The sequence below is a fragment of the Homo sapiens genome, chromosome 5 (genome assembly GCF_000001405.40).
Source record: "Homo sapiens chromosome 5, GRCh38.p14 Primary Assembly".
Classification (NCBI taxonomy): domain Eukaryota; kingdom Metazoa; phylum Chordata; class Mammalia; order Primates; family Hominidae; genus Homo; species Homo sapiens.
The window spans coordinates 126,627,353-126,645,147 of NC_000005.10; the positions used below are offsets into that span (position 1 = coordinate 126,627,353).

The following is a 17,795-nucleotide window of genomic DNA, read 5'->3' on the forward strand; positions in this document are numbered from 1 at the left end:
AGACAATTTATGGGAGGTGATTTTAGAAATAGTACATTAAGAAAGATAATTATTCTGAATACTTAAATGCCACATATTAATGTAAATATTGCCAATTTTTCTAGCAAAAGTTATGCCTTTTAAAGGGCGTTGATGCCTGAAGCTACTTTATCTTCATCAAGATTGTTTCTTCCCCACACCTTCCTGGTTTTTTAGCAATAGTTGTTTTTTTTTTTCTTTTTCTTTTTTTTTAAGACGGAGTTTTCACTTTTGTTGCCTAGGCTGGAATGCAATGGCACCATCTCAGCTCACTGCAACCTCCGCCTCCCGAGTTCAAGCGATTCTCCTGCTTCAGCCTCCCAAGTGGCTGGGATTACAAGCACACGCCACCACACCCAGCTAATTTTTTTGTATTTTTAGTAGAGACAGGGTTTCACCATGTTGGCCAGGCTGGTCTCAAACTCCTGACCTCAGGTGATCCACCTGCCTCAGCCTCCCAAAGTGTTGGGATTACAGGCATGAGCTACCACGCCCAGCCAATAGTTGTTTCTTTAACATTTGGAAACCACTCAGATTTCTGGCTTGTGTTGCATCCTACTGCCATACAGAAAGCAGTGCTTCAATTTTTAAGGTTATTTCTTTTTTTCAAAGTTTAGGTTTTTATTGAATATGCTGTAAAAGAGGTTTAGTCAAAAAGACCAAAGCCCATGTCCTCATCAGATTCCTCGGATTCTTCTTTCTTTGCTTCCACTTTCTTCTCAACTGAAGCAGCAGCAGTGGAGGGGGTAGGATCTCCAGCTGCTGCAAGTCCACCAGCCCTTACATTGCAGATGGGGTTCCCGATGCTGACATTGGCTAGGGCCTTTGCAAACACGCCAGGCCAGAAAGGTTCAACATTTACACCAGCTGCTTTAATGAGGGCATTGATTTTATCATTATGCAGAATGAGGGCCGAGTAGATGTAGGCGAGCTCGGAGAGGGAGGCCATGGCACGGGTGTGTGTGGGGCTGGCGCTGCTGGATGAGGTGCTAATCGCCGGATGAAGTGAGGCTCTCACCCCAATGTGGCCTTAGCTTCCTTGGAATGACCAAGCACCTTGGCAGCAGCTGAGGAAAGGGCAGTTTTTAAGGTTCTTTAAAAATTTATCGGCCCGGCATGGTGGCTCATACCTGTAATTCTAACACTGGGAGGCCGAGGCAGGCGGATTGCCTGAGCTCAGGAGTTCGAGACCAGCCTGGGCAACACGGTGAAACCCCGTCTATACTAAAATACAAAAAATCAGCTGGGCATGGCAGTGTGTGCCTGTGGTCCCAGCTACTTGAGAGCCTGAGGCAGGAGAATTGCTTGAACCCGGGAGACGGAGGTTGCAGTGAACGAAGATCATGCAACTGCACTCCAGACTGGGCACAGAGCTAGACTCCATCTCCAAAAATATAATAAAAAATTATCTAAGATGACTCTGAACCTTTCTGGCTATCCAAATCAAGATGTGCAAACTGTTCTTAGGTATGTATTCTTTTAGTTTATGCTCTCATCAAACCAGCATATCTTGCAGTAATTCTTCCTGCTTAGCCTAATAATATTTTTTCTACTTGCCAGTGGGTAGGACTTACACTAATAACCATCCACCTCTCTGTTATAGTAGTTTAAGCATTTATCCTCACTAGTAACCTTTCTTTATTAAAATCAGTTTTCATAACCTAAAATATTCTGCAATATGACAAATCTTAGGGGATAAAATAGGCTGGATTGGTTTGAGTTTAAACAAATTGGATTTACACTCTTGAGCTGCATGTAATAGATGGTGAAACATAAATGGGACACATATCAGTTGTGCAGTATATAGTGATGTTGAGCATTTTTTCATTACTTGACCTTTGCATGTGTTCTTTTGAGAAATGTCTACTAAGATCTTTCACCTTTTAAGACAGTGTCTCGCTGTGTTGCCTGGGCTGGGAGTGCAGTGGCACAGTCATGGTTCACTGCAGCCTCGACCTTCCAGGCTCAAGCGATCTTCCTGCCTGAGGATCCATCATGCTTAGCACCACACTGGTCTCGAACTCCTGGGCTCAAGCAATCCTCCTGCCTCAGCCTCCCAAAGTGCTGGTATTATAGGCATGAGCCACCACACCCAGTCATTTTACCCAGTTTTAAATCAGATTGGTCATTTTTCACTGTTCTTTATGTAGTCTGGTTTTTAACCCCTTGTCAGATATATATTTTGCAGATGTTTTGTCCCATTCTGTAGGTTGTCTCTTCACTCTTGTTTCCTTTGCTGTGCAAAAGCCTGTCAGTTTGATGTAATCCCATGTGTTTATTTTTGCTTTTGTTGGCCTGTTTTGCTGAGGTCTTATTTTAAAAATCCTTGGGCCAGGCAAAGTGGCTCACACCTGTAATCCCAGCACTTTGGGAGGCTTGAGTGGGTGAATCACATAAGCATAGGAGTTCAAGACTAGCCTGGGCAACATGGCAAAACCCCATCTCTATAAAAAATTTAAAAATTAGGCTGGGCGCGGTGGCTCACGCCTGTAATTCCAGCACTTTGGGAGGCCAAGGCGGTCAGATCATGAGGTCAGGAGATCAAAACCATCCTGGCCCACATGGTGAAATGCTGTCTCTACTAAAAATACAAAAATTAGCTGGGCGTTGTGGCACATGCCTGTAATCCCAGCTACTCGGGAGGCTGAGGCAGGAGAATCGCTTGAACCAGGGAGTCGGAAGATGCAGTGAGCTGAGATCGCACCGCTGCACTCCAGCCTGGTGACAGAGTGAGACTCTGTCTCAAAAAAAAAGAAAATTTTTAAAATTAGGCAGGCATGGTAGTGCACACCTGTGGTCCCAGCTATTGGGAGGCTGGGGTGGGAAGATCACCTGGGCCCACGATTGATTGAGGTTGAGGCTGCAGTGAGCCGTGATTGTGCCACTGCACTCAACCTTGAGTGACAGAGTGAGAACCTCCGTCTCAAAAAAAAAAAAAACCTTGCCCAGCCCAATGTTGTAGAGTATTTCTGTATGTTTTCTAGTAGTTTTGTAGTTTCAAGTTACATTTAATCCTAATCCATTCTGAGTTGATTTTTGTGTATGGTGAGAGGTAGGGGTCTAGTCTCATTCTTCTTCATGGGGATGTTCAATTTCCCCAGCACTGTTTATTGAAGAGACTGTCTTTTCCCTCGTGTGTGTTCTTGGCACCTTTGTTGAAAATCGGTTGACTGTAGGTGGCATACGCAATATATAAAGAGGAAAATCAGCCACGGACCAATACAGAATGTTAATTTGAAGTGATTATTTTTTAATTACTGAATAATTGTTCAGTTCAACGTATTTTCTAGTATGTGTCAAATTTGTGTCACAAACATCTTCATTTTTAATTGCTCATTATAAGAATGATGTTCTACTCAAAAAGGAATTTGTTTTATTTTGTTTTGTTTTGTCTTGTTTTTTGGAGACAAGGTATTGCTTTGTTGCCCTGACTGGAGAGCCGTGGTGCAATCACAGCTCACTGCAGCTTCGATCTCCTGGGTTCAAGTGATCCTCCTGCCTCAGCCTTTCAAATAGCTGGGACCACAAGTACATGTGACCACGCCCAGCTTGCTTATTTATTTATTTATTTATTTATTTATTTATTTATTTATTGAGATGGAATCTTGCTCTGTCACCCAGGCTGGAGTGGAGTGGCATCATCTCTGTTTGCCGCAACCTCTGCCCCCGGATTCAAGCAATTCTCCTGCCTCAGCCTCCCAAGTAGCTGGGATTACAGGCGCACACCACCATGCCTGGCTAATTTTTGTGTTTTTAGTAGAGAAGGTGTTTTACCATGTTGGCCAGGCTGGTCTTGAACTCCTGACCTCAAGTGATCCACCTGCCTCGGACTCCCAAAGCGCTGGGATTACAGGCATGAGCCACTACACTTGGCCAAATTTTTTTATTTTTTGTAGAGACCGGAATTTACTATGTTGCCCAGGCTGGTCTCAAATTCCTGGGCTCAAGTGATCCTCCTGCCACATCCTCCCAAAGTGCTAGGATTACAGGCATGAGCCACTGTGCCAGGCCAGAAGGGGGATTTTTTTTAAAGCCCTGAAAATAGCTCTGAGCTGGACACTTTTTTTTTTTGATTTAGAGTCTCACTCTGTCACCCAGGTTGGAGTGCAGTGGCGCAGTCTCGGCTCACTGCAACCTTTGCCTCCTGGGTTCAAGTGATTCTCCTGCCTTGGCCTCCTGAGTAGCTGGGATTACAGGCACCCACCACCACACCTGTGAGCTGGACACTCTTAACTGCTACTGTAACTGCCGAGAGTTACTATGAAGTTAGCAAAACATTGTTACATCAGAGCAGCGTTGTCATCATAATTAGACTAGTGAGTTAGTGAAGTTTTAGATGAGTATTCCATCCATTGCTGTCAGGAATGGCTTCAGGGAAAGATACTTGTCCTACTTTGCCTAAACTCACTAACAACTGCTCTGATGAGAGTCTCTATAAATCTGCTAATAAGTAAGGATTTATGGGATTCTGGGGTTTTTTGTTTGCTTGTTTTGCAACCTGGGAGCCACAAAGATACGGTCAATAACTTTGTGTTCCCCTTTGGCATCTATACAGAAAGCTTTATGTTCCAGAGGGAAATATGTGTGCAGGGAAAGCAAATCTGACCTGAGTGTAGAGCATACATAAATTCAGAAGCCAATATAGTTTCTGTTTTTTGTGGCTGGCCAGACATTTCCTTTAGGCAGTCGGTAGGCCTGAGGCAAATCTAGGTGCCTTGCCTTTTCCCTTAAAGTCAAGTTAAAATGGGCAGGGTGCAGTGGCTCACGGCTGTAATGTCAACAGTTTGAGAGGCCAAGGTGGGTGGTTCACTTGAGGTCAGGAATTCGAGACCAGCCTGACCAACATGGCAAAACCCCAGCTGGGCATGATAATGCACTCCATCTCATTAAAAAAAAAAAAAAAAAAAAAAAAAAAAGTCAGATTAAAATGGACATTGTGGGCAAATTGTAAAGGACAGCATGCAGTTAGAATTACAGATACCTGGCCCTGACTTGATCTTGCTGATACATGGGTACTTAAATGGTTATCTTTTAGCTGAGTTTCAATGGCACAGCCGTCTGTCCTGCAACAGCAGGGGACCAAACATGAATGCACAACTGCCTCCAGTGCCTGGAATGATGCTAAAATGATTGTATTTGGCTCACAAGATGTCTTCTTGCTTTCCTAATCATCAGGTATGAAGAGATTCATTTGCCACGATTTTCATTAAAGCAAGGGATGATCCCAAGACGTTATGTCATGCCTTGGAAAGAAAACATGATATTCAGGAATGTGAATCTGAAGGTATTTCCCCATAAGCACACATAAGGAAAAAAAACAAAAACAAAAACATTAAGCCGGATGCGGTGACTTGTGCCAATAATCCTAGCACTTTGGGAGACCGAGGCGGGTGGATCACTTGAGGTCAGGAGTTCGAGACCAGCCTAGCCAACTGGCGGAACCCCATCTCTACTAAAAATATGAAAATTAGCTGGGCATGGTGGCGGGCAGTTGTAATCCCAGCTACTCGGGAGGCTGAGGCATGAGAATCTCTTGAACCCGAGAGGCAGAGGTTGCAGTAAGCCAAGATTGCGCCACTGCAATCTAGCCTGGGCAACAGAGCTAGACTCTGTCTCTAAATAAATAAATAAATTTTACATATATATATATATATATATATATAATTTAGTATGTCTGTGATAGACGTGTGTAACTATACAAAAACTATTTTGATGTACTGTCACAAACTTGCAAACAAATGTTAAATAGTAATATCTGTTTAAATAACCTAATTATATACCGAAGAATTTCAGAAACTCTACATCATGCTATCTTGCAGTTGTTAAACTCATCATCAGAAGATGCCATTAATATTAAAGGTACACTACAAAGCATATATTTTTTAGATTATACTGCATATTCAGATAGAGAGGCATGGGAATATTTTGGCTAGTTTACACATGATTTACCCATTCAATGCTCCTGTTCAGTCAGCAGTTTTATTTATTTATTCCTTTTTTTCTTTTTGGAGACAGGGTCTCGCTCTGTCATCCAGGCTGGAGTGCAGTGGCGTGATCACAGCTCACTGCAGCCTCATCTGCTGAGCTCAATTGATCCTCCTGCCTCAGTCTCCCAAGTAGCTGGGATTACAGGTGCACATCACCACACCTTGCTAGCTTTTTGATTTTTAGTAGAGATGGGGTCTCACTATGTCTTCCAGTTTGGTCTTGAACTCCTGAGCTCAAGCAATCCTACTGCCTCGGCCTTCCAAAATTCTAGGATTACAGGAGTTAGCCACCACACCGGGCCTACTTTATTTATTTATTTAGAGACAGGATCTCACTCTGTCACCCAGACAGGAGTGCAATGATGCAATCATGGCTCACTGCAGCTGCAGCAACCTCTTGGGCTCAGGTGATCCTCCCACCTCAGCCTCCTGAGCAGCTGGGACTACAGGCACATGCCACCATGCCCGGAGAGTTTTGGTATTTTTTGTAGAGATGGGATCTCTACTATGTGGTCCAGGCTGGTCTCCTGGGCCCAAGCGATTCTCCTGCCTCAGCCTCCCAAAGTGCTAGGATTACAGGCATGAACCACTGTACCCGGCTCCAGTCAGTAGTTTTATAACAGCAGGAAAACTACTATAGGTAAAATGCCGCAGCCACTGTAGAAGATAGTGAGACCATTCTTCAAAAAATTAAACATAGAATTACCATATGATTCAGCAATTCCACTTCTAAGTATATGCTCAAAATAATTGAAAGCAGGGATTCCAACAGGCTTGTTTTAAAACATTTTCTGGCTGGCGTGGTGGCTCATGCCTGTGATCCTAGCACTTTGGGAGGCGGAGGCGGGCAGATAACCTGAGTTCAGGAGTTCAAGACCAGCCTGGCCAACATGGTGAAACCCCATCTCTACTAAAAATACAAAAATTAGCCGGGCATGATGGCACATGCCTGTAATCCCAGCTACTTGGGAGGCTGAGGCAGGAGAATCGCTTGAATCCGGGAGACACACTGCAGCAAGCCAGATCACGCCACTGCACTCCAGCCTGGGCAACAGAGCAAGACTCCATCTCAAACAAATAAATAAATGTTTACTCAGACTTACTACAGTCTTAATATTAGTCTGCATTTCATGTAATTTAGTGGCATATCAAGGTCATTTTCAATGCCCTAAGTAGCTTCAGCATGGTGACAGTACTGACTTTTTCATTTATGAGAATTATAGGTTGTAAACTTTATAAGTTGAAATCAGTAAAGAAAAACTTTGTTTTGATTGCATCAAAACACTTATTCTTGACCTTACTTTTAGAGTATAATTCAGCATCATTTTTCAGAGCTATTTTACTTTTGCAATTTAGTTGACAGTGTTCCTACCAATGAAACTTAAATAAGTGAATTAAGTAAAGTGAATGTGCCCACACTGAGTAAATGCTAGTAAATGCTAACTTATGCTTTCCTTCCTTTTATTTATCCTCACCATTTTTCCATTAGGAGTTAAAAACTGCATCTAACAACATTAAAAAATATAGCACACAGACTAGGTGCAGTGGCTTATGCCTCTAATCTTAGCACGTTGGGAGGCTGAGACAGGGGGATAGTTTGAGGCCAGGAGTTTAAGACCAGCCAGAGCAACATAGCGAGATCCTGTCTATTAAAAAAAAAAATTATCCAGGCATTGTGGTGTGTGCTGTAGTCCCAGCTACTTGGGAGGCTGAGGCAGGAGGATTGCTTGAGCCTAGGAGTTCCAGGCTGCAGTGAGCTATGATTGCACCACTGCACTCCAGCCTGGGTGACAGACTGAGGCCCCGTCTGTGAAATATATATATATATATATATATATATGAAACACAGCATACCAGAGTTGGGGCTGCATCCCAAGAACTGACCAGAATGCTATTTGGCAATACTGAAGAATCAAAAGTAGATGTGTATTTAAGTTAATAACTTCAAACAGTTGTTATTTATTTATTCAACAGTCATAACAGCATCATCATACTTTAAACCTTTTTGATACTTTGTAGTTGGCAAAGCTTTTTCATTCACATATATTTTATCTGCTACTCAAAGAATCCTTTAATATTCCCATTTTATATTTGAAAAAGCTGAGTCTTCTGGGAGTAAATGACTTGAAAAGGTCACGTTAAGTAGTGAAGCTAAAGTTCAACAATCTGCCTCCAAATATATCACATTTATAGTCTGCATGACTCTTTCTGGTAGTCAGATCACACTGACCCACAAAGCATTGCTTTTAGAAAAGGGATGTTCCTCTGTTCAGCAGAGCTTCCTTCTCAACAAGGATAGTTAGAAAAACTATTGGGAAACTTCCATCATTTTTGGAGAGGGGATGGGGTCTCACTCTGTTGCCCAGGCTGAAGTGCAGGGGTGTGATCATAGCTCACTGCAGCCTTGATTTCCCAGGATCAAGGGATTCTCTTGCCTCAGCCTCACAGACGCGTGCCACGACACCCACCTAATTTTTTATTTTTTGTATAGATGGGGTCTTGCTCTGTTGCCCAGGCTGGTCTCAAATTCCTGAGCTCAAGCAATCTTCCTGTCTTGGCCTCCCAAATTGCTGGGATTACAGGCATGAGCCATGGCTCCTGATGAAACTTCCTTCTTAATCTAACAAGAAAATGATGTTTGATGTGATACACAGAAGATTTTCTTTTCTCTTAGCAAGCAGAAGTGTGTGGGATCCATACTGGCCCTTTAGAAGACTCTCTGTTTTTGAATCACAGTGAAAGGCTTTGCCATGGGGAAGATCGTAAAGTTGTCTTCCAAAAAGGCCCACCAGAAATAAAAATTGCAGATATGCCTTTGCATTCGCCTCTCTCCAGATACCAAAGCACTGTGATTTCCCATGGCTTCAGGAGGCGACTAGTCTAATGAAAGAAGAATAAAATAATAAAGTGTTTCAATCTCTGCTCTCTTACTGTCTCTGATAAATGTTTAAGTTCGTTGTAAATTTGTATTTCACCTGCAAGTTCAATTTGTTTAAAGGTCTTAAGTCAGTTGTATAATTTATAGATTATACAACCTTTAGCAAGGAAACAGACTCTGAGATAATCTGAGATGAAGTGGAGGAAGAAGGAAAACTGCCTTGCTGACATTCATTTCACACTAACTACATAAGAATCAGCAGACCAGTCCAGTTCCACTGCCTAACCTTACCACATTCCTCTACCTTTCTCTCCTCCTCACTATATCTTTATTATTCATCCTCTTTGATCTTCAATGTCAGAGGAACCAAACTGAAATAGAGTTGCAGGATGTTTAATTAATTAATTTATTTATTTTTGAGACAGAGTCTCACTCTGTTGCCCAGTGGCTCACTGCAACCTCTGCATCCCAAGTAGCTGGGACTATAGGTGCACGCCAGCATGCCTGGCTAATTTTTTATTTTTTGTAGAGATGGGGTTTCATCATGTTCCCCAGGCCAGTCTCAGACTCCTGAGCTCAAGTGATCCACCCACCTAAACCTCCCAAAGTGCTGGGATTACAGGTGTGAGCCACCACGCCTGGCAGGATTTGGAAATATTTTTGCTGCTTGCTGATTCCACCTAACCTCCTCTTTTCTGACCCACGCCTCCAACACACATATATCTAAGATTCTGGATACTGGTAATTAATCACCATGGTAATTAGAAGTGTTTAGCAGACAACTCTTTGATGCATCAAACAATTTTAGTGAGAGAGATGTACTTTCTGTATTGGTTTAGAGTATACAAGTGCCAATTTCCTACAGCAAATAATTTATTCACATAATTTGGCTGCATAAAAACTACCATATGTAAAGTGGTACAGCCACTGTAGAAGACAGCCTGGCAGTTCCTCAAAAAATTAAACATAGAATTACCATATGATTCAGCAATTCCACTTCTCAGAATATACTCAAAAGAATTGACACCAAGAACGTGAACAGATATTTGTACACCAGTGTTCATAGCAGCATTATTCACAATAGCAAAAATGTGGAAACAACCCAAATGTTCATCACCTGATGAATGGATAAACAAAATGTGGTATACACATACAATGGAATATTATTTACTCACAAAAAGGAGTGATATTCTGATACATGCTACAACATGGAGGAACGTTGAAAACCTCATACTAAATGGAACAACCCAGACACAAAAGAATAAATATTGTGTGGATTCCTCTTATGTGAGATCCTAAAATAGTCACCTTCATAAAGAAAGAAAGAAAGAATAGCTGGGCACAGGGTCTTACGCCTGTAATCCTAGCACTTTGGGAGGTCGAGGCAGGTGGGTCACCTGAGGTCGGGAGTTCGAGACCAGCCTGACCAACATGGAGAAATCCCGTCTCCACTAAAAATGCAAAATTAGCCAGGTGTGGTGGCTCATGCCTGTAATCCCATCTACTCGGGAGGCTGAGGCAGGAGAATGGCTTGAACCCAGGAGGTGGAGGTTGTGGTGAGCCGAGATCTCGCCATTGCACTCCAGCCTGGGCAACAAGAGCAAAACTCTGTCACACACAAAAAAGGAAGGAAGGGAGGAAGGGAAGGGAGGAAGGGAGGAAGGAAGGGAGGAAGGGAGGGAGGGAGGGAGGGAGGGAGGGAGGGAGGGAGGAAGGAAGGAAGGAAGGAAGGAAGGAAGGAAGGAAGGAAGGAAGGAAGGAAGGAAGGTGGTTACCAGGTTCTGTGGGGGAGGAGGGAATGGGAAGTTATCATTTAATATGTACAGAATTTCATATTGGCATGATGGAAAAATTCTAGAGATGGATGGTTGCCTAAGGTGAATGTACTTAATGCCACTAAATAGGATATTCAAAAAGGGCCAGCCAGGTGTCGTAGTGCAGGCTTGTAGTCCCAGCTACTATAGATGCTGATGCGGGATGATTGCTTGAGCCCATTAGTTAGAGACCAGCCTGAGCAACATAGCAAAACTTTTATTTATTTTATTTTATTTTATTTGTTTTTGTTTGTTTTTTGAGAGGGAGTCTCGCTCTGTTGCCCAAGCTGGAGTGCAGTGGCAACCTCCACCTCCCGGGTTCAAGCGATTCTCCTGCCTCAGCCTCCCGAGTAGCTGGGACTACAGGTGCGTGCCAGGACACCCGGCTAATTTTTTGTGTTTTTAGTAGAGACAGGGTTTCACTGTGTTAGCCAGGATGGTCTCGATCTCCTGACTTCGTGATCCGACGGACTCGGCCTCCCAAAGTGCTGGGATTACGGGCGTGAGCCACCGCGGCCCGGCCAAGCACAGCTATTTTTTTTTTTTTTTTTTTTTTTTTTTTTGAGACGGAGTCTCGCTCTGCCGCCCAGGCTGGAGTGCAGTGGCGCGATCTCGGCTCACCGCAAGCTTCGCCTGCCGGGTTCACGCCATTCTCCTGCCTCAGCCTCCTGCGTAGCTGGGACTACAGGCGCCTGCCACCACGCCCGGCTAATTTTTTTTGTATTTTTAGTAGAGAAGGGATTTCATCGTGTTAGCCAGGATGGTCTCTATCTCCTGACCTCGTGATCCACCCGCCTCGGCCTCCCAAAGTGCTGGGATAACAGGCGTGAGCCACCGCGCCCGGCCAGCACAGCTATTTTTAACGTGACAAATGCTTAGTATGCCGTCTTCATATCGCGTGGCACATATAAATTCTGTTTAACTTATGCCAGGTGCTTCGTAGCATATCAAAGATAACTGAGATGGCAGCCTTGGATAAGAAGCGGTTCAAACTTGAGGTTCTTGGCATATCCTCACCAAAAAAGCTATTTAGTAATATAGCTGGGACTACAGGCGCACACCGCCATGCCCAGCTAATTTTTTTGTATTTTTAGTAGAGACTGAATTTCACCATGTTGACCAGACTGGTCTTGAACTCTTGAGCTGAGGCAATCCACCCACCTCGGCCTCCCAAAGTGCTGGGATTACAGGCATGAGCCACTGTGCCCAGCCAGTAATACATTTTTTTTAAATGTTAGGTTATTTGTTTTACTTATTTGTTTATGTATTTATTTATTTTGAGACGGAGTCTTGCTCTGTCACCTAGGCTGGAGTGCGGTGGCGTGATCTCGGCTCACAGCAACCTCCGCCTCCCAGGTTCAAGCAATACTCCTGCCTCAGCCTCCTGAGCTGGGTCTACAGGCGCCTGCCACCATGCCCGGCTAACTTTTGTATTTTTAGTAGAGACGGGGTTTCACCACGTTGGCCAGGCTGGTCTTGAACTCCTGACCTCAGCTGATCCGCCTGCCTCGGCCTCCCAAAGTGTTGGGATTACAGGCGTGAGCCACCATGCCCGGCCTTTTTGTTTTATTTTCCTAGATACAAATTATTGCTATGTTGCACTGGCTGGAGTGCAGTGGCTATTCACAGGTGCAAACATAGCATACTGCGGCTTTTCTAAAAAACAATATTGCCGGGCACGGTGGCTCAGGCCTGTAATCCCAGCACTTTGGGAGGCTGAGCTGGGCGGATCACGAGGTCAGGAGATCGAGACCATCCTGGCTAACACGGTGAAACCCCGTCTCTACTAAAAATACAAAAAATTAGCCGGGCATGGCAGCATGCGCCTGTAGTCCCAGCTACTCGGGAGGCTGAGACAGGAGAATGGCGTGAACCCAGGAGGCAGAGGTTGCAGTGAGCCGAGATCGGGCCATTGCACTCCAGCCTGAGTGACAGAGCAAGACCTCATCTCAGAACAAACAAACAAAAACAATATTTTAAGATTTAAGTATATACATTTTTTAGACAGAATGCTATTGAGCACTTAGTATACTACAGTATAGCATAAATGTAATTTTTTTTTTTTTTTGAGATGGAGTCTTGCTCTCTCACCCAGGCTGGAGTGCAGTGTCGCGATCTTGGCTCACTGCAACCTCCGCCTTCCAGGTTCAAGCGATTCTCCTGCCTCAGCCTCCTGAGTAGTTGGGATTACAGGTGTGTGCCACCAAGCCTGGCTAATTTTTGTATTTTTAGTAGAGATGAGGTTTCACCATGTTGGTCAGGCTGGTCTCGAACCCCTGACCTCGTGATCCACCCACCTCGGCCTCCCAAAGTGCTGGGATTACAGGCGTGAGCCATCGCACCCAGCCGTAAATGTAACTTTTATATGCATTCGGAAACCAAAAAAAAATTGTGTGATTCACTTTATTGCAATACTTGCTTTATTGCAATTTTTCCAGTGAAGGAAATTAAAAGTACTACTCCAGGGAATACATGAATGATAAATGACACAGCCATATTGCTGATAGGGGGAAAGTTTTAGTGGTCTACACAGAAGATCAAGCCAGCCACAAAATTCCCTTAAGCCAAAGCTTAATTCAGAGCACTTCCAGTGGTCTGGAACTGAACGTGCAGTATCTCCCTCCCTGCATTCCTGGGTTAAATCACATTTAGTCAGGATGTATAAGGTGCAAGTATAAGTCACATCCTGACTAAATGTGATTTGACCTAGGAATGCAGGGTTAGATTAATATCCAAGAATCAATTAATGTAACACTCTATATCAAAAGAATAAAACACAAAAGCCACATGATGATCTCAGTAGACACTAAAAAAGCGTGTAACAAAATCTAACACTCCTTCGTGATAAAAACTAGGAATCAAAGGAAACTTCCTCAACCTGATAAAGCTCATCCATGAAAAACCCACAGCAAAAAATTGAAAAACAAACAAAACAAAACAAAAACCCCACAGCTAATATTATAACTAATGGTGAAGAAAGATTGGATCACTTCCTCCTAAGATCAGGAAGAAGATAGAGATGGCTGCTCTCACCAATTCTATGTATTATAGACTCAGCTTCCTAAGCCTCATGAGGCAACCTCTGCTAGCTTCAGACTATTCTTCTGCAGCTTCCTCACCTCTCAGCTTCCCTGGATTAGGCTTTGTCTTAAGGGAATTTTGTGGCTGGTTTGACCTTCTATATGGATCACTAAAACTTTCCCCATGTCAGCAATATGACTGTTTCACTTATTAATATCATTCATGTATTCCCTGGAGTAGCACTTTTAATTTCCTTCAAGAACTTTTCCTTTGCATTCAAAACCTGGCTGTTTGGTGCAAGAGGCTTTCTTTTGGCCTATCTTGGCTTTCAACATTTCTTCACTAGGCTTAACCATTTCTAGCTTTCAATTTTGATATAGTTTGAATGTATCTTCCTGTCCAAATCTCATGTTGAAATGTAATCCCCAGCCTAGGAGGTGGGACCTGGTGGGAGGTGTGTGGATCATGCGGGCAGATCCCTCATGAATGGCTTGGGCCATCCCCTTGGTGATATGTGAGCTTTCGCTATGAGTTCACACGAGATGTGGTCCTTTAAGCGTGTAGCACTTCCCCCCACCCCGACTCTCTCTTGCTCCTGCTTTTGCCTTATGATGTGCCTGCTCCCACTTTGCCTTCCACCATGAGTAAAAGCTTCCTGAGGCCTCCCCAGAAGCCAAGCAATGGTGGTGCCATGCTTCTACAGCCTGCACAACCATTAGCCCATTTAACCTCTTTTCTTTATAAATTACCCAGTCTCAGGTATTCCTTTGTAGCAATGCAAGAACCGACTAATACAGATTTAAAGTGGGAGACGTGTGTACTTCCTTTCTCTTGAACACTTAGAAGCCATCGTAGGGTTATTAATTGGACTAATTTCAATATTGTTGTGTCTCAGGGAATAGGGAAGTCCAAGGAGAGGGATAGGAATAGGGGAATGGCCAGTCAGTGGAGTAGTCAGAACACACACCACATTTATCCATTAAGTTTGCTGTCTTCTATGGGTGCAGCTCATGGTGCCACAAAACAATTCCAATAGTAACATCAAAGATCACTGATCACAGATCACTACAACACATATAATAATAATGAAAAAGCTTGAAAAATTGTTAAAATTTCCAAAAAGTGACACAGAGACATAAAGCGAGTGCATGGTGTTAGAAAAATGGCACCAATGACTTACTCAACACAGGGCTGCCACAGATCTTCGATTTGTAAAAAACAGTGTCTGCAAAACACAAGAAAATGAGGTATGCTTGTGATTCTTTTTATATGCTGCGGGATATGATTTGATAGTATTTTGCTGAGGACTTTTACATCCATATTCAAAAGGGATATTGCTCTGTACTTTTCTTGTGATATCATTGTTCAGCTTTGCTATCACGTTAATACTGGCTTCATAGAATGAATTGGGAAATATCCTTCCTATTTTTTGAAAGGGTTTGAAAAGAATTGGTATAAATTCTTCTTTAAATGTTTGGTAGAATTGACCAGTGAAGCAATCCGTAGCCTGGGCTTTTCTTTGCAGTTAGGTTTTGGGTTACTTATTCAATTTTTTACTTGTAGTAAGTCTATTCAGATTGTCTTTTTTTTTTCCTTGAGTGAGTTTTTGTTATTATTATTATTATTTTTTTTTTTGAGACAGAGTCTCACTCTGTCTCCCAGGCTGGAGTGCAGTGGCGCGATCTCGGCTCACTGCAATCTCTGCCTCCTGGGTTCACGCCATTCTCCTGCCTCAGCCTCCTGAGTAGCTGGGACTACAGGCGCCCGCCACCAGGCCCGGCTAATTTTTTGTATTTTTTTAGTGGAGACGGAGTTTCACTGTGTTAGCCAGGATGGTCTTGATCTCCTGACCTCGTGATCCGCCCACCTTGGCCTCCCAAGGTTCTGGGATTACAGGCATGAGCCACCGCGCCCGGCCCGAGTTTTTATTATTATTGATAATATTAAAAATAAATAACGCTGAATTAATATGAATATAGTTGGATTTATATTTGCCATTTTACTGTGTTTTCCATATGCCTCATGTCCTTTTTGTTCCTCAATTTACATTTACTGCTTTCTTTTGAATTAAGTGAATTTTTTTTTTTTTTTTTTTTGGTGAGATGGAGATTTACTCTTGTTGTCCAGGCTGGAGTGCAAAGGCGCGATCTCTGCTCACTGCATCCTCCGCCTCCAGGTTCAAGCGATTCTCCTGCCGCAGCCTCCCTAGCAGCTGGGATTACAAGCATGTGCCACCACGCCCGTCTAATTTTGTATTTTTAGTAGAGTCGGGGTTTCACCATGTTGCCCAGGCTGATCTCGAACTCCTGACCTCAGGTGACCCACCTGCCTTGGCCTTCCAAAGTGCTGGGATTACAGGTGTGAGCGACTGCGCCCGGCCTAAGTGAATATTTTCAAAGTAGCACTTTAATTTATTTAATAGTTATTTAATACATTTTTTGAATTATTTCTTTAGTGGTTGCTCTCAGGCTTACCATATGCAACTTAATTTATCAACTTCAGATTTCAACTAATTTAATTTCAGTGAGATATAGACCTGTTACTCCGATATAGCTCTATTTCTTGCCCCCCATTTTTGTGTTATTACTGTTACACATATTACATTTTTAAATGTTACAAATACAACTGTACATTGTTATAATCATTATATAATTTTATGTCTTTTAAAGAAGCTGAAAGAAGGAAAGATAGCAAGTATATATTCATAGCTTTTGTTATATCAACCTTCTCACTTATCATTTCTGGCTCTCTTCATTTGTTCCTGTGGATTTGAGTTACCATCTGGAGTCATTTCCTTAGTCCAATACAGCTATGCTACCACCCATCTCCTTTGGGCTGTTATTAGCAAATATATTTCTTGTTTTTTTAAATTGTTAATGTTTTTTTTTGAGACACAGTCTCACTCTGTCCCCCAGGCTGGAGTGCAGTGGTGTGATCTTGGCTCACTGCAACCTCTGCTTCCCAGGTTCAAGCGATTCTCATGCCTCAGCCTCCTGAGTAGCTTGGATTACAGGCATGTGCCATCACACCCTGCTAATTTTTGTATTTTTAGTAGAGACAGGGTTTCCCCATGTTGGCCTAGGCTAGTCATGAACTCCTGACCTCAGGTGATCCACCTGCCTCAGCCTCCCAAAGTGCTGGGGTTACATGCGTAAGCCACAGCGCCCATCCAGGCAAATATATTTGTTTATGTTATAGGTCCCAAAATACAGTGTATACATATTATTTTATACCATTGCTGTTTAAATCAGTTAAAAAAATAAAGCAGAAGAAATATGCATTTATACTATCTTGAATAATTACATAATTACACTTACTGGTTGTTAGGGACCAAATGTTTTTGTCCCCTCAGATTAAAAGATTGAAACCTAAACTCCCAATGTGATTGTATTGGGAAGTGAGTAGGTTTAGATGGAGTCATGAGGGTGGAGCCCCCATGATGGGATTAGTGTCCTTATAAGAAGAGAAAGAGGGCTGGGGCACAGTGGCTCACACTGTAATCCCAGCACTTTGGGAGGCCGAGGTGGGCGGATCACCTGAGGTCAGGAGTTCGAGATCAGCCTGGCCAACATGGTGAAACCCCGTCTCTACTAAAAATACAAAAATTAGCTGGGCATGGTGGCACATGCTTGTAATCCCAGCTACTCAGGAGCCTGAGGCAGGAGAATCGCTTGAGCCTGGGAAGCAGAGGTTGCAGTTAGCTGAGATTGTGCCACTGCACTCCAGACTGGCCAACAGAGCGAGAGTCTTTCTCAAAAAAAAAAAAAAAAAAAAAAGAAGAGAAAATGACCAGAGCTCACTCACTCTCTCCACCATGTGATAACACAGCAAGAAAGTGGCCATCTGCAAGCCAGGAAGAAGGCTCTCACCAGGAACTCAATCTTCTGGCACCTTGGCCTTGGACTTCCCAGATTCCACAACTGTGAGACATGAATGAATGTTGTTTAAGCCACACAGTCTACTGTATTTTGTTACAGCAGCCAGAGCCAAATAAGTCACTACTGCTCTTTGTGTAGATTCAGATTACCTTCTGAGATTCATTTCTTTTAGTCTGAAGAACGTCCTTTACTTTTTTTA

At 43.2% G+C, this 17,795-nt stretch overlaps 1 protein-coding gene and 1 pseudogene across 1 annotated transcript; one reads left to right on the plus strand and one right to left on the minus strand.

Moving 5' to 3' along the window:
• On the minus strand, positions 627-1,097 carry RPLP1P7 (ribosomal protein lateral stalk subunit P1 pseudogene 7; annotated as a pseudogene).
• Positions 4,353-8,932, plus strand: SPMIP10 (sperm microtubule inner protein 10). Its single transcript, NM_207408.3, has 3 exons — positions 4,353-4,468; positions 5,194-5,302; positions 8,680-8,932. Exons 1-3 carry the CDS (start codon positions 4,383-4,385, stop codon positions 8,887-8,889), a joined length of 405 nt encoding a protein of 134 aa, NP_997291.1. The 5' UTR covers positions 4,353-4,382; the 3' UTR covers positions 8,890-8,932.
• Positions 8,933-17,795: the final 8,863 nt, after the last annotated feature.

Bases quoted from the DNA above. Each gene is read 5' to 3' on its own strand.
- SPMIP10 (NM_207408.3), top strand. From the start codon at position 4,383: ATGGCTTCAGGGAAAGATACTTGTCCTACTTTGCCTAAACTCACTAAC. The intron at 4,469-5,193 runs GTAAGGATTTAT...CCTAATCATCAG, and splicing joins CTCTATAAATCTGCTAATAA to GTATGAAGAGATTCATTTGC. The intron at 5,303-8,679 runs GTATTTCCCCAT...CTTTTCTCTTAG, and splicing joins TCAGGAATGTGAATCTGAAG to CAAGCAGAAGTGTGTGGGAT.